Below are 19681 nucleotides of genomic sequence, written 5' to 3'. Positions count from 1 at the left end.
CACAGAGGGTAGACACTGCTGAAGTTAGAGCTGTATTACATTCAGAAATAATCGTAAGAGCAAGAGCAGTAGTTAGTGTAAAGTGGGTGGGATTAGTAAATGTCCCCATCATAGATACCACACACATTGTCTTTTTCTCAAGATCCCTTCCACCAGTCCCCATTGAGTAGCAGCAGAAAGTTATGGAGAAAGGGGAGAAGGGGTGGCCTGACTTTACCTTAGTTCCAGGGATGGGCCATCATCATTGTAGCACAATTGGGGGAATCAGCATATGGCATCTCCTTGACCAAAGGGACTGGTTCAGGGAGAGGTAAGTGGCCCCATTCCTGCCAATGAGATGGTAGGGGAGGTTTGCTGGTGGCTTCTGAGAATAAAGCCCTCTTTATCAGAGAGAGCTACTGATGTCCTATTTCTCTCTCTTTCTTTTTTTTTTTTTTTTTTTTTTGAGACGGAGTCTCGCTCTGTCGCCCAGGCTGGAGTGCAGTGGCGCGATCTCGGCTCACTGCAAGCTCCGCCTCCCGGGTTCACGCCATTCTCCTGCCTCAGCCTCCCGCGTAGCTGGGACTACAGGCGCCCGCCACCACGCCCGGCTAATTTTTTTGTGTTTTTTAGTAGAGACGGGGTTTCACTGTGTTAGCCAGGATGGTCTCGATCTCCTGACCTCGTGATCCGCCCGCCTCGGCCTCCCAAAGTGCTGGGATTACAGGCGTGAGCCACCGCGCCCGGCCTCTCTCTCTTTCTGTGTATAGAGGCGATGCTTGCAACTGCTGCAGCCATTTTGCCACCATGGAGGAAGCTTCTTTGGGAATGATGCTAACATAAGGAAGGGAGGGAAAGGAGAAAACAACACTGGGTCCTTGATGACATCACTGTCCCATTGATCCTACCTGCCTTGACACCCACACTCCCTGCAGAAACAGCTGCTGATAAATCTCCAATACATCAAGCATTTTGCATTGTTTTCTATTTTTGACAGTGTGAAGCCTCATGACTTATATGTCAGATTAAGCCTTTTGTTAAGAAGATATAAGCATTGTCATGAGAAACACCAGACTTTGGTTTAAGTTACTGCTCTGCAACTTTCGGACCTACGTGGCCTTACGAATGCATAAACTTCTTCCTGGAAGCTGGCGCTACACAGGTGTGGACTGTTCCATATATGAGCAAGCTTGGACACAGATATTTTTGTGAAGGGCAGTAAGGCTGGGCACAATGCCTCACGTCTGTAATTCCAGCACTCTGGGAGGCTGAGGTGGAAGGATCGCGTGAGGCCAGGAGTTCAAGACCAGCCTGGGCAATACAGCAAAACACCATCTTTACAAAAAAAAAATCATTAAAAAAAAATAGCTGAATGTGGTGATGCACACCTGTAGTCCCAGCTACTCATGAGGCTGAGGTGGGAGCCACTTGAGCCCAGGAGTTCGAGGCTGCAGTGAGCTGTGATCATGCCACACCACTGCACTCCAGCCTGGAAGAGAGTGAGACCTTGTCTCTAAAAGTAAAGTAAAATATAAAACTGGGACAATGAATGCTCACCACAAAGTCCCCATCCCCCTTCTTGGGGGTCCATTGTCCATTACCTCACATCATGTCTCCATCAGGACAGCCTGTCAGTCAGCTCTAGCACCTCTCAGCTCTAAACTGCAGTAGAGAGGGAGGACAGACCAGAACGAGGAGTCTCTGGAATAAATTCCCATCTTTCCAAGGGGATTCCTTGCCTCAGAGAGGTTCAGTGAAGCCAGAAAAGGCACTGTGAAAGGTGGTGTCTGATTTGCAAGGCAGCTTGAAGCAAGGGTTGAGCCTCATGAGGAGGGGCTGGGGCTTCTGAGGGGCTATAGAAAGTCTTCATTGCCATGTCCTGCTTCCAAGGCAACCCTGATTCGGTTTCCCATTAGAAACACATTGAATCTGTGACTCGACCTGATCCCATCCTCTCCAATGACAGGCTGTCTACCGCCAGATGATAAACAGGAAGTCACTGAGTAAGAGGAGCGTGTCGGTCCATGCCGGAGGGGGTTACCTAACTTGGGAAGGCAGAGCTCCAGTAACCACATCTCATACTGAGAATGATGCCTACAGCAATGATGCCTCGCAGGCCTTCTGCAAAGGGTGGCAGAGGAGGACAGCAGTCTCATAGCCTCAATCTTTTTTGGGAAGCAGTAAACCAAACACGCTCTTCTATAGAGACAAGTGCAGCAGTTCTTTTCACAAATTCATGCAGAGGATGCACATGTTGTGAACTGAGAAATTGTATCTCGAGTTCTTTCATTTTCAGTTCAGTTTTACTTTACAATAACTGCTGCTCTTGCTACTATTATTATTTCTAAATACAACACAGCTCTAACTTCAGCAGTGCTTACCTTACCCTCAGGGAGATTATGTGCTGGACACTGGCAAGGGAATATGTGTACTAGGAGTCATAATATTTGCCATGCTGAGTATGCTGACCTCATTCCGGGCATGGTTTTGAGTACTTTCTTTTTGCATCTCAACACCTTACTTAACCTTACAACAGCTTTGAGAGCTGGGTGTTGTTATCCTCACTTCCAAAAGAAGAAATCAATAGCTCAGAATCGAGTCCAGCAACTTGCCAAAGGTCGCAGGCTACCTGTTATCTCTGCATAGGACTAGACTGCAGGCAACAATTAGCCCAATGTCAGCCTTAGGACCATCCTGGCAGAATAGAGGTGATCTTGAATATAATGGGAAAAAAGAGAAAAAGAAAAAATAACAATGATGAAGTTGATCACCTCAGGTTCACAGGCTGTGCAGCAGCAGAGCTGGGCCTGGTATCCACCTTCCAGATCCCACTCCAGAGACCTTCCCTTAATATTTTGCTACCTTAATCTCAGGGCATACGGATTCTTTTTCTTTGGCTTCACTAACATGCTATGTATTTGGCATGATCTTCCCCTCAATGTTTCCATCTGAGACATGGGAGGGAGAGACCTACTTTGTTAAAAGGAAAACATGATAGAAACATTAAAAAGAGATTTTCCCATAGCACAGGGGGAAAAAACTATAAATAGAGTGAAATGTTAATGGTGAAATCCTGGTGGTGGGTATCTGAATGTTCACCGTCTAATTGTTTTGATGTTTCTGTATGGTTGAACATTTTCATATATAATGTTGGGGGAGAAACAATGTTTCCAATATCTCAGTGGTACATTAATATTGATAACACCCTCTTGTAGTATCTGAGGGTGATAAGAAGAAAGATCAATGCAACAGCAAGGGCTGCGGTCAAGCTCGATGTGTTCCATGAACCCCTCCAGGGGTGGCCATGACTGGCTGCCATGTGGCCACTGTGGTCACATCACCTTGCCTGGTCGCCAATCTTCAGGTGTCGCTGCCACTCAGCAGTGCTCCACTTCTGAGACTGTTTCTACTATGATTAAAGGCCTCTGGTCCTGAACTGTCACCAGCAGAGTGACATGGTGCCAACACATGGCCAAGCATATGACAAACATCTACTGTTGACAAGACAACATCCTAGAGGTGTCAGGCGGACGGAAGCAGCCCATTCCAGAAGGAAAGCTCCTGCATGCTGGGTCCTTTGCTCCTGAGACATCTGTACGGTGGAGTCAGAGTGTCCCAGCACCTCGCTGTCTCTCAAGCTGCACACTCGTTTCATTTCCTCTTAGACCTGCAGTGTGACTTATCTTTTCATCAGAGGGGCTTGGAGGGCTTCCCCTCAGTAGCAAAGCCATACCAGCAAGATGTCCTCCTGGGAGATCCATGAAATAACTTGGCTCAGAAGCAAATTATCTCTGAGCAGCTCTATTTTCAATCCTTCCTCGAGATATCACTATTACTAGAAAACTTACCTGGCTCTAATTTAATTGTGAAACAAGGCTTGTCCCTGTGCTAATATTAAAATGGAAATCTTCTAGTGAAATGGCTCATTTCTCTGGTGAATTATTGCCAGAAGGAGATAGGGCCTGAATGCAATTTGCTTAAGTGTCTCACAAACCACTCTGATTCCTGAAGACACTGGCCTTATCTTGTGCTTGATCGACCCTGCACAAGCTGCCTGTCTGCTGCTTGTTCTCTGGAGTTCTCTGAAAAGCCAGTGCTTGGTGGAAAAGCCACAGGAAAATGTTCACTTTTATATCTGCCTCATCATTATAGTTTCTTTCTTTTATTTGGAGACAGAGTCTCACTCTGTCACCCAGGCTGGAGTGCAGTGGCGCGATCTCAGCTCACTGCAACTTCCGCCTCCTGGATTCAAGTGATTCTTCCGCCTCAGCCTCCCGAGTAGCCGGGATTATGGGCACGTGCACCACAACCAGCTAATTTTGTATTTTTATTAGAGACAGGGTTTCACCATATTGGTGAGGCTGGTCTCGAACTGCTGACCTCGTGATCCGCCCACCTCAGCCTCCCAAAGTGCTAGGATTACAGGCGTGAGCCACGGCACCCCACCATCATTATAGTTTATTACTATTCCTCTGTATTTCTAATTATCATCTAAAAAGATGCCCAGTACCCAAAGAAGTTTGCTTTTGCCCAGTTTTCTGGAAAAATGTTCAGAGTGGCTTTTACCAAAAGCTCTCTTCCCCTTGCCTTTGCCCAAAGCCTGGAATGGGGAAGAAGAGCTCATGGGGTGGGAAGAAGAGCTGTGAGGGCAGAGGCAGCAAAGGTGCCCGCCTCCAGGAGCTTGCAGCTGGGCCTCCCCAGGATGGCGGTGCTTCTATCAGCTGTTTACATGAAAACAGGTGAAAAGGGAGGTAAGCCAGTTTAGGAACGGCATTCCAAACAGGAAACTACCTGAGTGCAGGTGCTGCAGAAAACAGAGGTTGATAAAGGCTCACAGCCCCAGGGCTCAGACTCTTACCAGCCTTTAAGAAGCAGGTGAGCTGGGCACAGTGATGCGTGTGCCTGTAGTTCCAGCTACTCAGGAGACTGAGATGAGAGGACGGCTTACGTGCAGGAGTTTGAGACTGCTGTGAGCTATGATCTCCCCACTGCATTTTAGCCTGGACAACAGAGGGAAACCCTATCTCTAAAAATATAAAAATCAAAAGAAGCAGTAGAAGGAGTAAACAGGAAAGACTCAAGCTCCCAATGGAAATACACACCATATCCAGGAGTTTGGAGGGTGTTTGGTTGGATTTGGTTTTTATGGACATGAACACACTCTGGTTCTTGCAGGAGTCAAGCTGCTCTGAAAAGAGATATAAGTGAGACTTCTGAATTTCCCTCCAGCACCCAGAAAAAGGTAGGAAACATAACAGGCATTCTTAATTAATTCCTGCAGGAGAACTAAGGTAAAAAGATGCTTCCCAACATCATCCTGAGCCCTCCTTGGAGGTACAACTGGAGGCCGAGATTTGTGTTTTGACATTGAGCCTTTTGGGGATTCAAAGGCACCTCCCTGGTCTCCCCCCAGACCATAAAGATATGAGAAACCCAAGCACCTGTTCTTGGCTGACGCCAGCTGGGAATTTACTGCCCATTCTCCTGGGCCTGATGCCCAGCAGGGCCAGTCTCAGCGGAGTCAACCGTCTGAGAGGAGGATCGATTAAGGAAACCGCTGTTCAGGCTTAGACTATAGATTTTTTGAAACAGCCCCATCCACAGCTGTAGATGGCTCCAGGCTGCTTACGGAGGCAGGAGAAAGTGATGGTCCCAGCTCCTGGGCTCGCCTTATGTGACTCTGTGCCTCCTTTCAGGATTTCTCTTTAAAAACCTATTTTTGCAAATGGTTTTCAAAAAGACCCAAATGAACTTTTTTCAAGTTGGGTCATAGCCATGATACCAGATGAGTCATCAGAAGTCCAAACCTAGGGATCGTTTTGTGGAAGAATATAATTTTGGAACTAGGAAGGTCCTTAGAGAGGGTTCGGTGCAGCAGTCCAACAGAAATCTAATGCGAGCCATGAATTCCAGATTTTCTAGCAGACATATTAAAAAGTAAAACCAAACAGGTGACATTAATTTCAATAATATATTCTACCTAACCTGATATATCCAAAATATTAACATTTCAACATGTAATAATTATAAAAACTATTTTATCAGCTTTATCAATACATAGCTTAAGTATCATAAAATTCTCTTTTTTTTTTTTTTTTTTTTGAGACAACGTCTTGCTCTGTTACCCAGGCTGGAGTGCAGTGGCATGATCTCAGCTCACTGCAACCTCTACTTCCTGGGTTCAAGTGATTCTCATGCCTCAGCCGCCTAAGTAGCTGGGACTACAAGCGTATGCCACCATGCCCGGCTAATTTTTGTATTTTTTGTAAAGATGGGGTTTCACCATGTTGCCCAGGCTGGTGTTAAACTCCTGGCCTCAAGTGATCTGCCCACCTCGGCCTCCCAAAGTGCCGGAATTACAAGCGTGAGCCACTGCACCCAGCCAGTACCATAAAAATTCACCCATGTAACGTGTACAATTAAATGGTTTTTCATATATTTACAGAGTTGTGTAACCATCACCATCATCTAATTTTAGAATATTTTCATCACCCCAAAAAGACACTTTGCATCCATTAGCAGCCACTCCCTGTTACCCTCTTGACCAGCCCCAGGCAACCATGAAACTGCTTTCTGTCTCTATGGAGCTGCCTGTTCTGAACACATCATATGAATGGAATTGTACAGTATGTGGGCTTTGCTGAATTGCTTATGAATTCATCATAATGTTTTCAAGATTCATCCATGTTGCAGCATGCATCAGTGCTCCATTCCTTTTCATTGCTACTGTGTAGATAAAAAATTACTATTATTATTATTATTATTATTATTAGAGACAGGGTCTCGTTCGATCACGCAGGCTGGAGTGCAGTACCACCATCATAGGTCACTGCAGCCTGGAACTGCTGGGCTCAAGCAATCCTCCAGCCTCAGCCTCCCAAGTAGGTAAGACTACAGGCACGTGCCACCATACCCAGCTAATTCTTATTTTTATTTTTTGTAGAGATGGGGTCTCACTATGTTGCCCAGGATGTCTCAAACTTCTGGCCTCAAGTAATCCTCCCTCCTTGGCCTCTTAAAGTGCTAGGATTATAGGCATGAACCACTGCACTTGACCGATAAAAAGTTACTGGGGTATTTTTCATTCTTTTTTGTACTAAGCCCTTAAAAGCCACTGTGCATTTTATACTCACAGCACATCTCATCTAGCAAGCGACATTGCAAGTGCTCGGTTGCCATGTGTGGCTCATGGCTCCCGTATTGGACAGCACAGATCTAGTCCACCTCTTTTTAAGAAACTAAGTATGGCATTGGAAGGACAATGACTTGCCCCAAGGCCACGTGCCAGTTAATGGCTCCATCTGAGCTTGAACCCAAGCATTCCTGGGACCATCCAGTGGCACCATGCTTCCTCTTCACCCATGCTTTGGGCCACCTGGAGAGGACAAAGATGGAAATCCATCTGGCTAAACAGACATCCATGGAAGTCCACACTTCTCTCTCAACGACACTCCAAATCTTAATCATCTTTGGTTTTCAACCAGGGCACAGGCCCAGTGGGACAAGGATTGGGACAGCCCAGCCACGATCATCCTAAAGAGAGCACCTCTCCATCCTATAGCGGAGGGAATTCTCAACAGCAGCCACCACTGACAGGCAGCAAGAGTTAAACTGATGGGTCACCGTGATAAGCCACTCAACTCCCCTGGGGACTCTTGGCAGAGGAACAATACATACATCTCCTGCTTTGCAGGGTAGCCCTGGAGATGAGGTACAAACACGCCTGGGTAGATGAGGTCTGTTGGGTAATGACAGTCAGTGAACTTCTATCCCTTATAAATAATATTGCCACATGGATCCCCACCCAGTGAATCAAAAACATTTACTACTTCTGGGAAAGGGCAAGGCAGATGCATGCTTCCTTTTGTATACAGTACTGGAAGCAGCTTTAGTCCTAACAATGCTGTGTGAGAGGTATTCTCATTACCTGCATTTAAAGATGAAAGAAGTATGGCACAGAGAGTTTACGTAACTTTCTCAAGGTCACAGAGCTAGTAAGTGGTGCAGCCAGCATTTGAACCCAGGCAATCTGGCTCTAGGATGCAGGTTCCTGACCACCATGCTGCCCTGGAGAAACCTGGAACTCCAGGAAACCCTTCCCTGTGAAATCTCATCTTCCTCGGTGGAAGCAAAAGACCTCCCAGCCCATGCTGTGTGTCCTCTGGAATCTCGCCTTCTAGCTCCAGGGAACATGTGTGGCCACCCTGACCAGATTTCCCACACTAGAGGCATGAGTCAGAAAGACAAAAAAAGTTTTCTTCCTTTTCTTCGTGAGTTATCATTACTTGTCATCACGCGTGTTATATAAGCCACAAGGGTCTGGATTTATTAAACTGGAAGGAAAGCTGCTGAGTTTGTTGCTGAGGAATGACAGACTCTACAACACTTGGACTCACTGCTTTTGTCCCCAAAACGTGCCTACCCAACCTGAGTGCAGCCTCAGAAATCTGTGCCTGAAATGCAGCCTCAGAAATCTTCCCTTGAGGTGGCAAGCAATGTAGTGAGCGTGGGGAGGCCGCGTCCCCACAGATGAGCTCTTCTCCCCAGCCTCTACTCACTGAACATTCAGTGGAGCCTGTGACTTGTGAGGGAACCCCTGGACCATGTGAGGTGACCTCACAAATGAAGCCAGACTCTGGGGTCGGGAGTAGATGGCCGCCTGGGCAATGTCACTCTGTGGGAGCACACTAGGATGGCACAGCCCAGAGGCTACAGTCAGGATGAATATGGGCACAGGCGTGATTATTTCCTCATACAATGTCATAAAAAATCCCCAATTTCATATAAAGAGCCAGATTTCCAGTTTCTCTTAAAAACCAGAAGACCTGGCAACATGGGCCAGAGTTCATGCCATGTAAGCCCTGAGGGGAACGTCTACCTCATGTTGGACAGGAAAACCTCCTTTGTGCTCACCACAGCCTCCACTACACCCTACTGTCTCCCACTGGGTCCTCTGATTTAGACATGGAACATGCACACTAGACTGGACCATGGAAGAGGACGGTGTGGCCTGGCTCATCAGGCCTATCAAGCTTGTCAGGTCTTGCTTTGCTGTTTTCATCTCACATGTGAATGCCTCCTTTCTCCATCTCCTCCAGAAGCTCTTTAAGGACAGGACCATTCCATGCACTTTCCTTCTCTCCTTTTCCTGCCAGACTGGGTTAGGCCCACAATAGGTTCTCATGCAACATTAGAAGAGCCTATGGGAAACCTGTGAGGATGGGGGTAACAGTGGGGTGACTTCACACAGCCCCTCACTGGTCAACCCCATGCCAAGACCTCAGAAGGCCACGGAGGGTGTACAGATGCGGATACTACAGGCAAAGATGCTGATGACTCAAAATTAACAACCAGGAAACAATCCGAGAAGCAAATGCCAGAAGCAAATACAACATGGAAAGGGTTGGGGAAGTCTAGAGGATTCCAATTTGACTGCTCAGAAGATCTCAGGCCCTGAGGGGAACAGGGGTAACGCTTGGCAAGGGCAACATGAGCCTGTGCTGCGCACACCTTCATCAGACCCCAGAGTCTAAAACAATTTCATGCCTCTCTTGAAGCGAAAATGCCCTGAAAATGACAGATTCCTGCAACCAAGCGTGGCAGGTCATTTGCACTCCCTGGTTGAAATTTCCAGGATGTGCCAGGGCCCTGGGACATCCCAACAAACCCCTAGAGAATGTGAGTCTTTAGGTCTGTCCCCTCCTCTACCTACTCCTATAGGAAATGGCAGATGAGACCACCGGCCCAAAGCTGGATGCCTTCTATAAATGATACCATCCCGTCTGTTGCCTGGGGGCACTTAGGAGCAGCAGGATTGCCTAACCCCGTGGGAAGCCCAAGTGTCCAAGAATTGCTCCACAAGTTGCCACATGACCTTGCTTCACTCCAACAGGCGAAGCACCCATTGCATAATTATATAAATCTAAATGCACCCAAAGCTGTACCATGAGATTGTGAAATCAAGCACCACCTCTTCTATGTGTCTCTTTAGAATTTAGCACAGAGCTAGTGACACATTCATTCTAAACATGCTGACCCCTCCCCCATACTGGAGGCTTCACTGGAGGATCCCAAGAAGTTTATATCATGGGAGTTGTTGAGTAAGATCTGCGGAGTTATTCCCTGCCTAGTTTACACAATCCAGTGAGACAAAGTCACATACAAATGAATGTACTAAGATGACTGAAGGGCAATTGCAAGGAGTTTCTGGAACAGGCACCCCCCCCCGCCATTCCAATTTCAGGCTTTTTGTTTTTTTAAGCTGAAAGAGAGAGAAAAGAGAACAGCTTTGAATATTCACTTATTGGAAAAGATGAAACAACCCCTCTGTCAGCTAGCTGATTGCAACAGATGACAGCAATGATTAAAATCAGCTGTCTGGGTTAATTAGTGCCTATGACCACAAGTATATTGCTACTCCGTCACCACCATGATTTTTCTTCTTACTCCAAGCCTTGGTGGCAAAAATTTTGCTACCAGCAACTGCTTAGACCCTCACACAGCAAAGGGTCTCTTCAGCACAAAGGTTGTCTGAGTTCACCCTGCCTCCTATCTGCCCCTTCTGCTGTTGAAAGACTGGCTCCATTTCCAAGCTAGTTATTCTGGCTGCAACTCCTCTTTCATCTTCAATTCACGGTTGTCTGGGGTAACATTTGCTCTGGCTAACATGGCCCACTCTGTCAAGAGGAACAATATTTGCCCGAGATGGTTGTAAAAGATAACAAGGAATTTACTAAGAGCTACACACAACACTCTGTGTTGTCTTTGGTGGAATCAACCACCACCATAAATTTCAAATCCATGCTGCTGGGCTGCAACCACTGAGAATGTAGCCTGGCCACAAAGAAAGGCCATCTGTGGTCTATACATCCCATTAGGTGGCGTTCAGGATATACAGAATCTCAGTGATTTTCTAAAGTTAGGACAGTGGGATCAACTTAACTCTGATCACCATCAGAGAAAGTTACCCAACAGAGCCAGCTAGAGAGCACACAGATACTGGAGGGGCCCCCTTCATGCCCCCTTGGGGACCCCGGCTGCCCTGGTGCAGTGTCCTGATGACTGCTCCTCAACTCCAGGGCTGGAGTCTCCCAGCTCCTCCTGGAGGGCTTTCTGCAGGACCAGCACAGACAAACTGAGAGGCAGATAAGATTTAATTCTAGGAGAGTGGAGGGATGTGAGCAACCCTCAACCTGCAGAGGACTGAATTAGGTGGATCAATACCCTGGCTTCCTTGCCTCTCTCGTGGGACAATTCTGAAGCCTGTTCCACAGACTCTCTGAGACCCCGGCTAGAGCTGGGCCCTCGTTGTCCCCTGCAGTGTTCTGCTTAAGAATGCACCTTTATCTGCCTTTCCCCTCACTCTGTTTCATTACCTCATTCTCTCTCTTGTGCTTCTTAGGTCACCTCCTTGCACCCAAGTCCTTGTCTGAGTGTGTGCTTCTAGAGGAACCCAAACCAAGACACTGGCGAAACAGACAGAATTTAAATTAATAAGTTCTTACTTTTCTTCCCTGTCTGTGGCTTCTTCCACAGGGAATGCTTCAGTGCTCTCTTACTATCCCTAATGTAGAAATAGAGGGCATAAGAAAATGCCAGTATGAGGGAGGGGCACCTCCAACCCAACATCAGTGAGTGGCTACACTGGCCTAAAAGCTTGTATCAGTGCTACCCTAAAATCTCTTTGCTTACATTATCTTCCATTTAGAGGGTGAGCTGGGTTTTCCATTCTGAGCAGCGTTCATGGGCAGCTGCATGACAAAAGTCAGGTTGAATACATAGGTTATCAATTAGTGATGTCTGTAATGGTACCAGAATGGAAGAGTGGTGGCTGGCATGTCAGACATTTGCAATCATTTATATATGGAAAAGTATAATGATTTTGGAATGGGACAAACTAAAACGTCAAAATTCAGCTCTAACATCAAACAGAAGTAAGATCTTGGGCATCTTAATTTACTTGTCTAGGCCTCAGTTTCCTCAACTGTGAAAATGAAGATAACAATTTCCATCCTATAAGGCCATTATGAGGATTGTGGATGATGATATGTGAAAGTCCCTGGCACACTCCCAGATCCATAAACGTTTGGTTCCCTTCACCACTGGGAGCCAGGGAGCTCCCTTATAAAAAGTGTTTTGGATTTCTTAAGCAAACACATTATTTTCCAAAACTACTTAATATATTTAATGGCAAAGAATCTCAAAAGGATTAAAAAATTTTTAAAAAGCTCTAAAACTATGAACCTCTCTCTCTAGCCACACCTCTCTTCTGGTTGAAGTAGTTTTTCAGTGGAATTTAATGCTCCAGGCAAAGACATCTGATTCTTTGGCACACCCTTCAGAGTATGGTAATTCTCAGGTCAATTAAAAACACTGAAGAAAGAAGATGCTGAGAAATGGGACTGGCTTTAATGAAACATGCTTTGAATAATTAACCAGCAACTATGCAAGTTTAGACTGTGTCCATTAGCTGATTGTTCTGTTTAAAAAGGGACTGCCCCATTTGGCATGCCAAGATGGGGACTGTATCCCAACCGGAGGAACCTGATGCTCCTGACAGTATGTGTATCCCAGCAATCAAGATAGTGGAAATTTGTGCAAGTGAGAGGTAACTTTAAAACCTTGTGCAAATTGTATAAGCAGTGGTTTGGAAAATATGTCGGAAAGTTAGCTGCCAAAAGCCAAAAATGACAGCAATTTAAGGCACTGGAAATTGCCAGCAAATATGCCAGCACCCAGTGCTGAGCTCAGCACAGCGTGGACACTGCACACATGGCTGTTGAATGGCTGAATGACTGCTGACCCCTGCACATCTCCTCTGTACACTTGGAATGCTCAGAAGACAGCATGTGAGGACTGCAAATAGGAAAGATGGCCTTTCAGATCAGTCAAAAGACAAGAGACAAAGACTCCTCCAAAGAACAACTGTCTGAAAATGCTGAGCATAGGCAGTCTTCACTTGGCATAGTTCTGTAGGCATTAATTTAGTGCCCCAGTAACACTGTACAAGTTTCAGTTAGCACGGTATATTAACTGTAATTGCTAAAAGTGTAAATTTCGCCCCTAATGCTTCAGTCCGCAAATCATCATGCAATTAACATGTGCACCATGATCCATGACTAACATGCTGATTTTTTTTCAAAGTGAGTCACCAGGGGTCACTGTGCATCAGTTACTCAGTCCACCAATAGACAGCAAATTGTGAAGTTGTGTTGCCTTCCTGTCTCCCAGCGATAAACCCATTTCACAAGACAGATGACCAAAAGAAACAACTGGCCAACAAGATGAAATGAAAGTGAAGCAAAGAAATGAAATATGTTCACACTGGAAATGAAATGTGAATGGAATATAAATGGAGCTAGAGAAGAAGCAGCTGACCGTGGGGATGTTGACACTCCTGAGGTACAGACACTCTAGATTTGGAGACACAGGAATTAGTGAAGACAAACAACACAAATGAAGAAAGTGGTCTTGAGGAAAAGGATGATGTCTTAAAGAAATGCTTGAAGATATTTCATGACACTGAGAGCACAAAAGATAAGATGTTGGAAGCTGAGCCAAACTTAGGAGTACGGAAGCTTGCCAGGGCTTAGGAAAGATACTCACTCCACATCATAAGCACTGTTCAAACTACTCTTGGTAAGTTTGTTTTACAAAGAAATAAAACACTTTGGTTCTCAAAATTATAATGGCTTTTCAACTGCACATTGACAAATTGAAATTGGATCTATTTGTGAGATACAAAGTGATGCTTGATCTACATATACAATGTGGAATGACTGGATCAAGCTAATTCACATATTCGTTATCTCAAATACTTATCATTTATCCTCCTGTCCAACTGAAGCTTCATATCCTTGGACCAACATCTGCCCATTCCTTCCACTCCCCAGCCTCTGGAAACCATTATTCTGTTCCCTGCTTCTATGTGTCTGGTTATTTTAGATTCCACATACGAGATCATGCGGTATTTGTCTTTCTGTGCCTGGCTAATTTCACTTAGCACAATATCCTCTAGGTTCATCCATGTTGTCACAACTGACATCATCTTTCAAGTCTGAACAGTACTCCATTGTATATATACACCACCTTCTCTTTAGCCATTCATCTGTCGATGGACGCTTTGGTTGCTGCCGTATCTTGGCTATCATGAATAGTGCTGCAACAGGCATGGGAATGTGCATATCCCTTCAACATACCAATTTCAAAGTCTTTGGATGTATACCCAGAAGTGGAGCTGCTGGATCATATAGTAACTCTAATTTTAGTTTTTTGAGGAACCTTCATACTGTTTTCCATAATGGCTGTATTCATTTACATTTCCGCCAAAAGGGTACTAGGGTTCCCTTTTCTCCACGTCAATATTTCAAATGTTCTGTTAAATGTACTGACTGAATATTAGTTTCACTATTTTCCACTTTACTATGCTTTATAACCAATACTAAGAGAGTTTTTAAAGATTTGAGAAAAAATGTTAAAGTTTACAAAACCATCGTCATTTTTTTATTAATTATTTAGATGATATTGCACATTTTCAGCTTACATGGTAATGTTTACAATTCTGTACTACTGCAGCATGATGAACGGGATGCGGGGCACACAGAATTCTCTTTGAAAGTAGAAGAGAAATGGCAAAACCTTGCCTAGAGGTTGGTTCTGACATCTGGCTCCCACAAGGAGGCAACGTGGCAGAAACATGGTAGATTTTCTCCAAGCCCTCCACCTTGTTTTGTTTTGTTTTGTTTTTTTCTATTTTTGGGACTATGTCATGCTCTGGAACAAAAATGGACTGAAAAATAAGAAACAACAAACCTATGTAGGTTTTATAAAGCTTTACCATTTAGCAAGTTGTCTTTTAAAGGATGGGTTTCTCCATGGAATACTCTCAATCATCTAAGGTAGAGGACACACTTATCTCACTTATTTACAAAGGAGGAAACTGAGGCTGAGAGAAAATTAAGCACTAACCCCAAACCACACAATTAGGAATTGGAGGACCTACAACAGTGTCATCAAGTAGATATAAAACATCTAAAAAGCAAATCACATATGTAACTTTAAATTTTCTAGTGTTCACATTTTAGAAGTTTTCTAAAAGAAATTAAGTGTAGTAACTTTTAATTAACCCAATATATCAAAAATATTATCAATGCAGCATGTTCTCAATATACAATTAATAAGGAAATAGTCACATTCTTTTGTACGAAGTCTTCAAAATCTGATGAGCATTTATACCTAAGGCACATGTCAATTCCACATTTCAAGTTGCTCCATCATCTACGCGGGATTGTTGGCTACCAAACCAGAGAGAATTGGGAACTGTCTGCTGCCTCTAGAAATGAGCATTTCAGTGGCTATGAGCCTCATATTTTTATCCACAACATTACTACCTCAGGATTACACCCTTTCCTCCAAAAGAGTTTTCTGAGAAAGTCATAGATCACTAAAAAGAGTGGAAGACATTTCAGAAATAGGATTTAAAATTTTTTTCTTCATAATTTTCTTTTAGTCAAAAAAATATTATGCAAAGTAACTGGGGTTACAAGTAACTTTCGCGAGGGTAGGTAGGAGAGTGGGCATAATTTGCACACAGAATTCTTTCTGTACCTAAAATGGAAGGCTCACTCACCAGGCAATGCCTCACTGAGCCATCAGAGAGCCTACTGGAGTCATTGGCCCTGCTTTCTAAACGCTATGTACTTTTCTATTCATGACTGACGTGTACATATGGAACTGATTTTGTTTCTAACTCTAATCATCGAATTTATATTCTTTTTTATTTAAAAAACGTATTTATAAACAAATGTACTTCTTATGTTGAAATGCTTTTACTTTCCTTTTATGACTTATTACGCTGATTATAACCACAAATAAAATATTGATTAAAAGGGATGACAATGATCACTCTTGCCTGTTCCTGATTTTAAAGGAAATGCTTTTATTATTTCTTAATTGATAATTATATTTACTTTCAGGTTTTGATAAATACTCTTTACTCCCTACTAGCCCTGCTTTGCAGACAACAAGATAGAGACAGATAGAGATAGAGACAGACAGAGATGGAGATAGAGATAGAGATAGAGAAAGGGATAGAGATAGAAGACAGAGATAGAGGGAGAGAGAGACAAAGAATAGGCTCAAATTTTAAAAATGTTTTTCTGCACCTATTGAAATAATCCTGTTCTTTTTTATCTGTTCATGAGATAAATTACATCATAGATTTAAATAAACATATTTTGAACTACTGATCAAAATTTTTAGTGTTATACATCTCTTCACATTTTCGATTTCTTGTTCAGTCAATGTTGTTATACTTTTCTAGAAAAAATGTCAATCTCATCTGAGTTGCCTAATATGTCGGTAAGAGTCACTTTATCTTTTTAATAATCTCTGCTATAGCTGTACCTATATCCTCCTTTTCTTGTCTAACATTATTCATTTTTGCGGATCAAGCTTGTCAAAGAATCTGTGTATTTTACTGTTCTTCATAATGAACAAAACTTGAGTTTTGACCATTCCACTGATAATAGCTGTTTTCTATTTCATTGATTCTACTCATATATATTATTTCCTTCCTTCTAATTTGTTTAGGTTTATTATTCTTTCTTCTAACTTATCACACTGAACAATTAGCATATTTAATTTTAGTCTTCCTTTACTGTGATATAATAAAGCATAAGATAATATATACAATATTCAACATAAGGCTATATATGTCTCTCTGTAGTCAAATAATTTAACTGGTGTGATGTTGATTCAATGACATTTTTTGAGACTTGTGTTATGGCCACGTACAAAGTGAATTCTTACACATGTTTTATTCTTAGATATTTTGGAAAATATTATGCTATATTGTTGAGAGTAAAGTTCTATATATGTCCATCAAATCAAACCATTGTTCAAATCTTCTATACCTTAAAGACTTTATTATTTGATCTTTCAGTTACCAAAAAATTGTATTAAAATCTCTCAATCTGATTATAAATTTGTCATTTTAAAAAATTTGTTGTTTCTTCTTATATCTTCAGTTTCTGGTGAAGTTTTTTTTTGACATGTTGAGACTATGTTATTAAATGTTTAGAAGTTTTAAATTGTTTTATCTTCCCAGTAAACTGTACCATTTACCATTAAAATTACCATTAGCATTAAAATCGTCTCAAATAATAATGTTTTGCTCTTAAATCAACTTTATTGGATAGTAATATCCAACCTAATCCAATGGTGTCTTTTGGTTAGTGTTTGCCTACTACATATTTTTCCATTCTTTTATTTTCAACCATTTGTGCCTTTGTGTTGTGAATGTATTATCTTAGTAATTCTCCATAAATTTTAACACAAACGTTTCATTTAATAAAATTAAATTTCACTCTATATTGACTGTCTTCTTCAAAAATACAGGGACTTAAAATGTCATAATTCTGACCGCCAACTCAAATTGATCACACTTATGTAGTCATTGATTTATACAGTCTGAAATATTTAAAATATCTTTTTATATAAATATTCATGAATATTATTATTTGAAGTTATTTAGAGTTCATTTCTACTGAGAATTTCAGAGAAAATTTCCATTCTTCTTCTAGGAATCCTGCACTGATGACCAGTGTGAACTCCATTACTATAATATGTTAATTTCTTGGCATGAGGTTTCCAGGACCATGAAAGTAGTGTAAAGAACTCCAAACCCACTTGGGGCAGGTCCACGATAAGATATTTTTTAAGAAGACTCCCCCAGCCCCACCTAGAGCCCAGATCAAAAGAGACAAACTTTCTAGCATTTTATTTTGTGAGAAGCGGATTTACCATACAGTCCCCTGTTTATTAATCAAAAGGCTCCTCTTTCATGGCAGGGTCACAGATCCAATTCCCCAACCCACTTTCACCCCCAGCCTTGTCTTCTGTCCTTGTGCAGTCATTAAAACGGACATTTCTTGTTTACTGAGATGGGCAAATGCCACCAGGAGAGATGCAGTAGTGAGTGACAACATGCTCCTTGGGTATTCAGCTTCCTCTTTATTTACAGCTCCAAGGATATCTCTCACCTGCTTCTAAGTTCAGCTCTGCTGTGATATTATCCAGCATTTCCTGTTGTTTTGGATCAGGAGGATTTTCAGGTTATCTTGTCTATTGGACATCACAAAGCAGTCACAATGACCTTTAGAAAAGGCTTACCTGATCCTGTCATTCCCTTCCTGCTTAAGCCCTTCAAAGACTCGCCTCTGCCCTGAGGATAGACACCTGAATTCCTATTTCAACTTCACATTGCCGGCCTGCCGCTGCCTTCTCCCACCTCACCTCGCTCTAGCAACAGGCCTTTCATGCTCAGTCTCTCTGACATGCCATGCCTCCAACCACCCCATAGACTTGCCCAGCGCTGGGACTTTGCCTGGTAAATTCTCCCCTCCACCTCGCCTTGATGTATGTCATGTCTCTTCATTCCTCAGATGCCGTGTCTGGCCCTAGAGGCTAATGTCCAGCTCCCCACTGCATGTTCTCACCACACCTTCTTTCTAGTACTTACTGCAGTTTATGATTAGTTGCTTAACAGTGTGAGTATCTAACGGATGTCTGTCTTCCCAGCAGCCTCTCGGCATTGTAGCCCTACCAGGCACGTCAGCACCTGGTTCACGGTATCTACTCATAAGGCACTAAAGGAATGCTCATTGAATTAAGATGAATGCAGAAGCTATTAGGATGACCCCTTGATGAAGGGATAAAGGCCTGGATTATGGCTTGACAATGGAATGAGAGGAAAGGTCAGATAGGAGAGAGATTGAGAAAAAAGAATTGACAATGCTTGGTAATTGTCAAACAATTGGATGACAGAATACGTTTAAAAGGGAGCTATATTTCACTGGAAGATATTTGATTATCTACATTTCAGCCACTCTGAGTAACGAGTGTAAGAACATTCAGGTGGAAACCTCCAGTGGTCGTGGGGAATACTGGAATCATGCTCAGGAGATGAATGAAGATCATAGTCATCTGAATCAAGGTGGGTGGCTGATTTTCCACATGGGGATTCAGTTCTTGGGGAAGGCTCTGGGGAGAGAGGAGCGTGGTGCCTGGGGCTGCGTCCTCAGAACCAAGGGGAGGAAAGAAGAAGGGGCCAGAGAAAGACACAGGAAGCAGCCCTAGCAGATGAGAAACAGGGACTGTAAGAGGGTTAAGGAAATGAGGGATAGGTTTCCAACAGGAGAGCTGAGTCCACAATGTCAAAGACTGCAGAAAGGTCAAGAAGAACTATTTCCACATTACACCAGAAGAAGCTTTGCAAGTTCAATTCTGCCATGAATTACCTACCCATGTTCTCCTGTACATCTTCTCAGGATAAACTTTAGAAAGACAGACAAGATAGAGGCATCTACCCTGTGGGGTCCTTCTGAACTAGGAAAAATGTTAACTTCCATTAAATCACTCTAGAAGTTCTCAGAGATTCAAAAATAACGCATGAAGAAATTCGCAGTTATTTTGGGGAAGTTATGTTCTGGAATTATCTAGATGTTTCTGAATGTGTCTTATTCCCTCACCTCCTGTAGCCCACCCCGTAACAGTTGTGCTTTGGAAACTTCTGTGTTGTTTGAGCTATTTTATTCTGGTCACAGACTCATTATTCCAATGTTATTCATATCCCCAGTATCTTACAAATAATATACATCAATCTTATAAATCATACTTTCTACTCATTAACATATGTCTCAGG

General features: G+C 43.1%; 1 protein-coding gene and 1 long non-coding RNA gene across 2 annotated transcripts in view, besides 2 other annotated features; one reads left to right on the top strand and one right to left on the bottom strand.

Annotated features, from left to right (window-relative positions):
• Positions 1-19681, bottom strand: part of SLC24A3 (solute carrier family 24 member 3) — a 510285-nt gene that overhangs the window by 460077 nt on the left and 30527 nt on the right. The gene's annotated exons all lie outside the window — the stretch shown is intronic.
• SLC24A3-AS1 (SLC24A3 antisense RNA 1) overlaps positions 1-19681 on the top strand; it is a 42295-nt gene that overhangs the window by 21747 nt on the left and 867 nt on the right. Inside the window, exons 5-7 of the long non-coding RNA NR_024564.1 lie at positions 977-1141; positions 5155-5221; positions 18562-18973. This is a non-coding gene — a long non-coding RNA (SLC24A3 antisense RNA 1). The remainder of the gene's footprint in view (positions 1-976; positions 1142-5154; positions 5222-18561; positions 18974-19681) is intronic.
• Positions 1830-1879: an enhancer, noted in NCBI's record as "active region_17597". NCBI's record gives its function as "activates an Ori minimal core promoter by ATAC-STARR-seq in GM12878 lymphoblastoid cells {active_cell/tissue: GM12878}" and the evidence as "EXISTENCE:reporter gene assay evidence [ECO:0000049][PMID:35858748]".
• Positions 3549-3638: an enhancer, noted in NCBI's record as "active region_17596". NCBI's record gives its function as "activates an Ori minimal core promoter by ATAC-STARR-seq in GM12878 lymphoblastoid cells {active_cell/tissue: GM12878}" and the evidence as "EXISTENCE:reporter gene assay evidence [ECO:0000049][PMID:35858748]".

The sequence above is a fragment of the Homo sapiens genome, chromosome 20 (assembly GCF_000001405.40).
Source record: "Homo sapiens chromosome 20, GRCh38.p14 Primary Assembly".
Taxonomy (NCBI): domain Eukaryota; kingdom Metazoa; phylum Chordata; class Mammalia; order Primates; family Hominidae; genus Homo; species Homo sapiens.
This window is presented reverse-complemented; position numbering and strand designations above follow the sequence as displayed.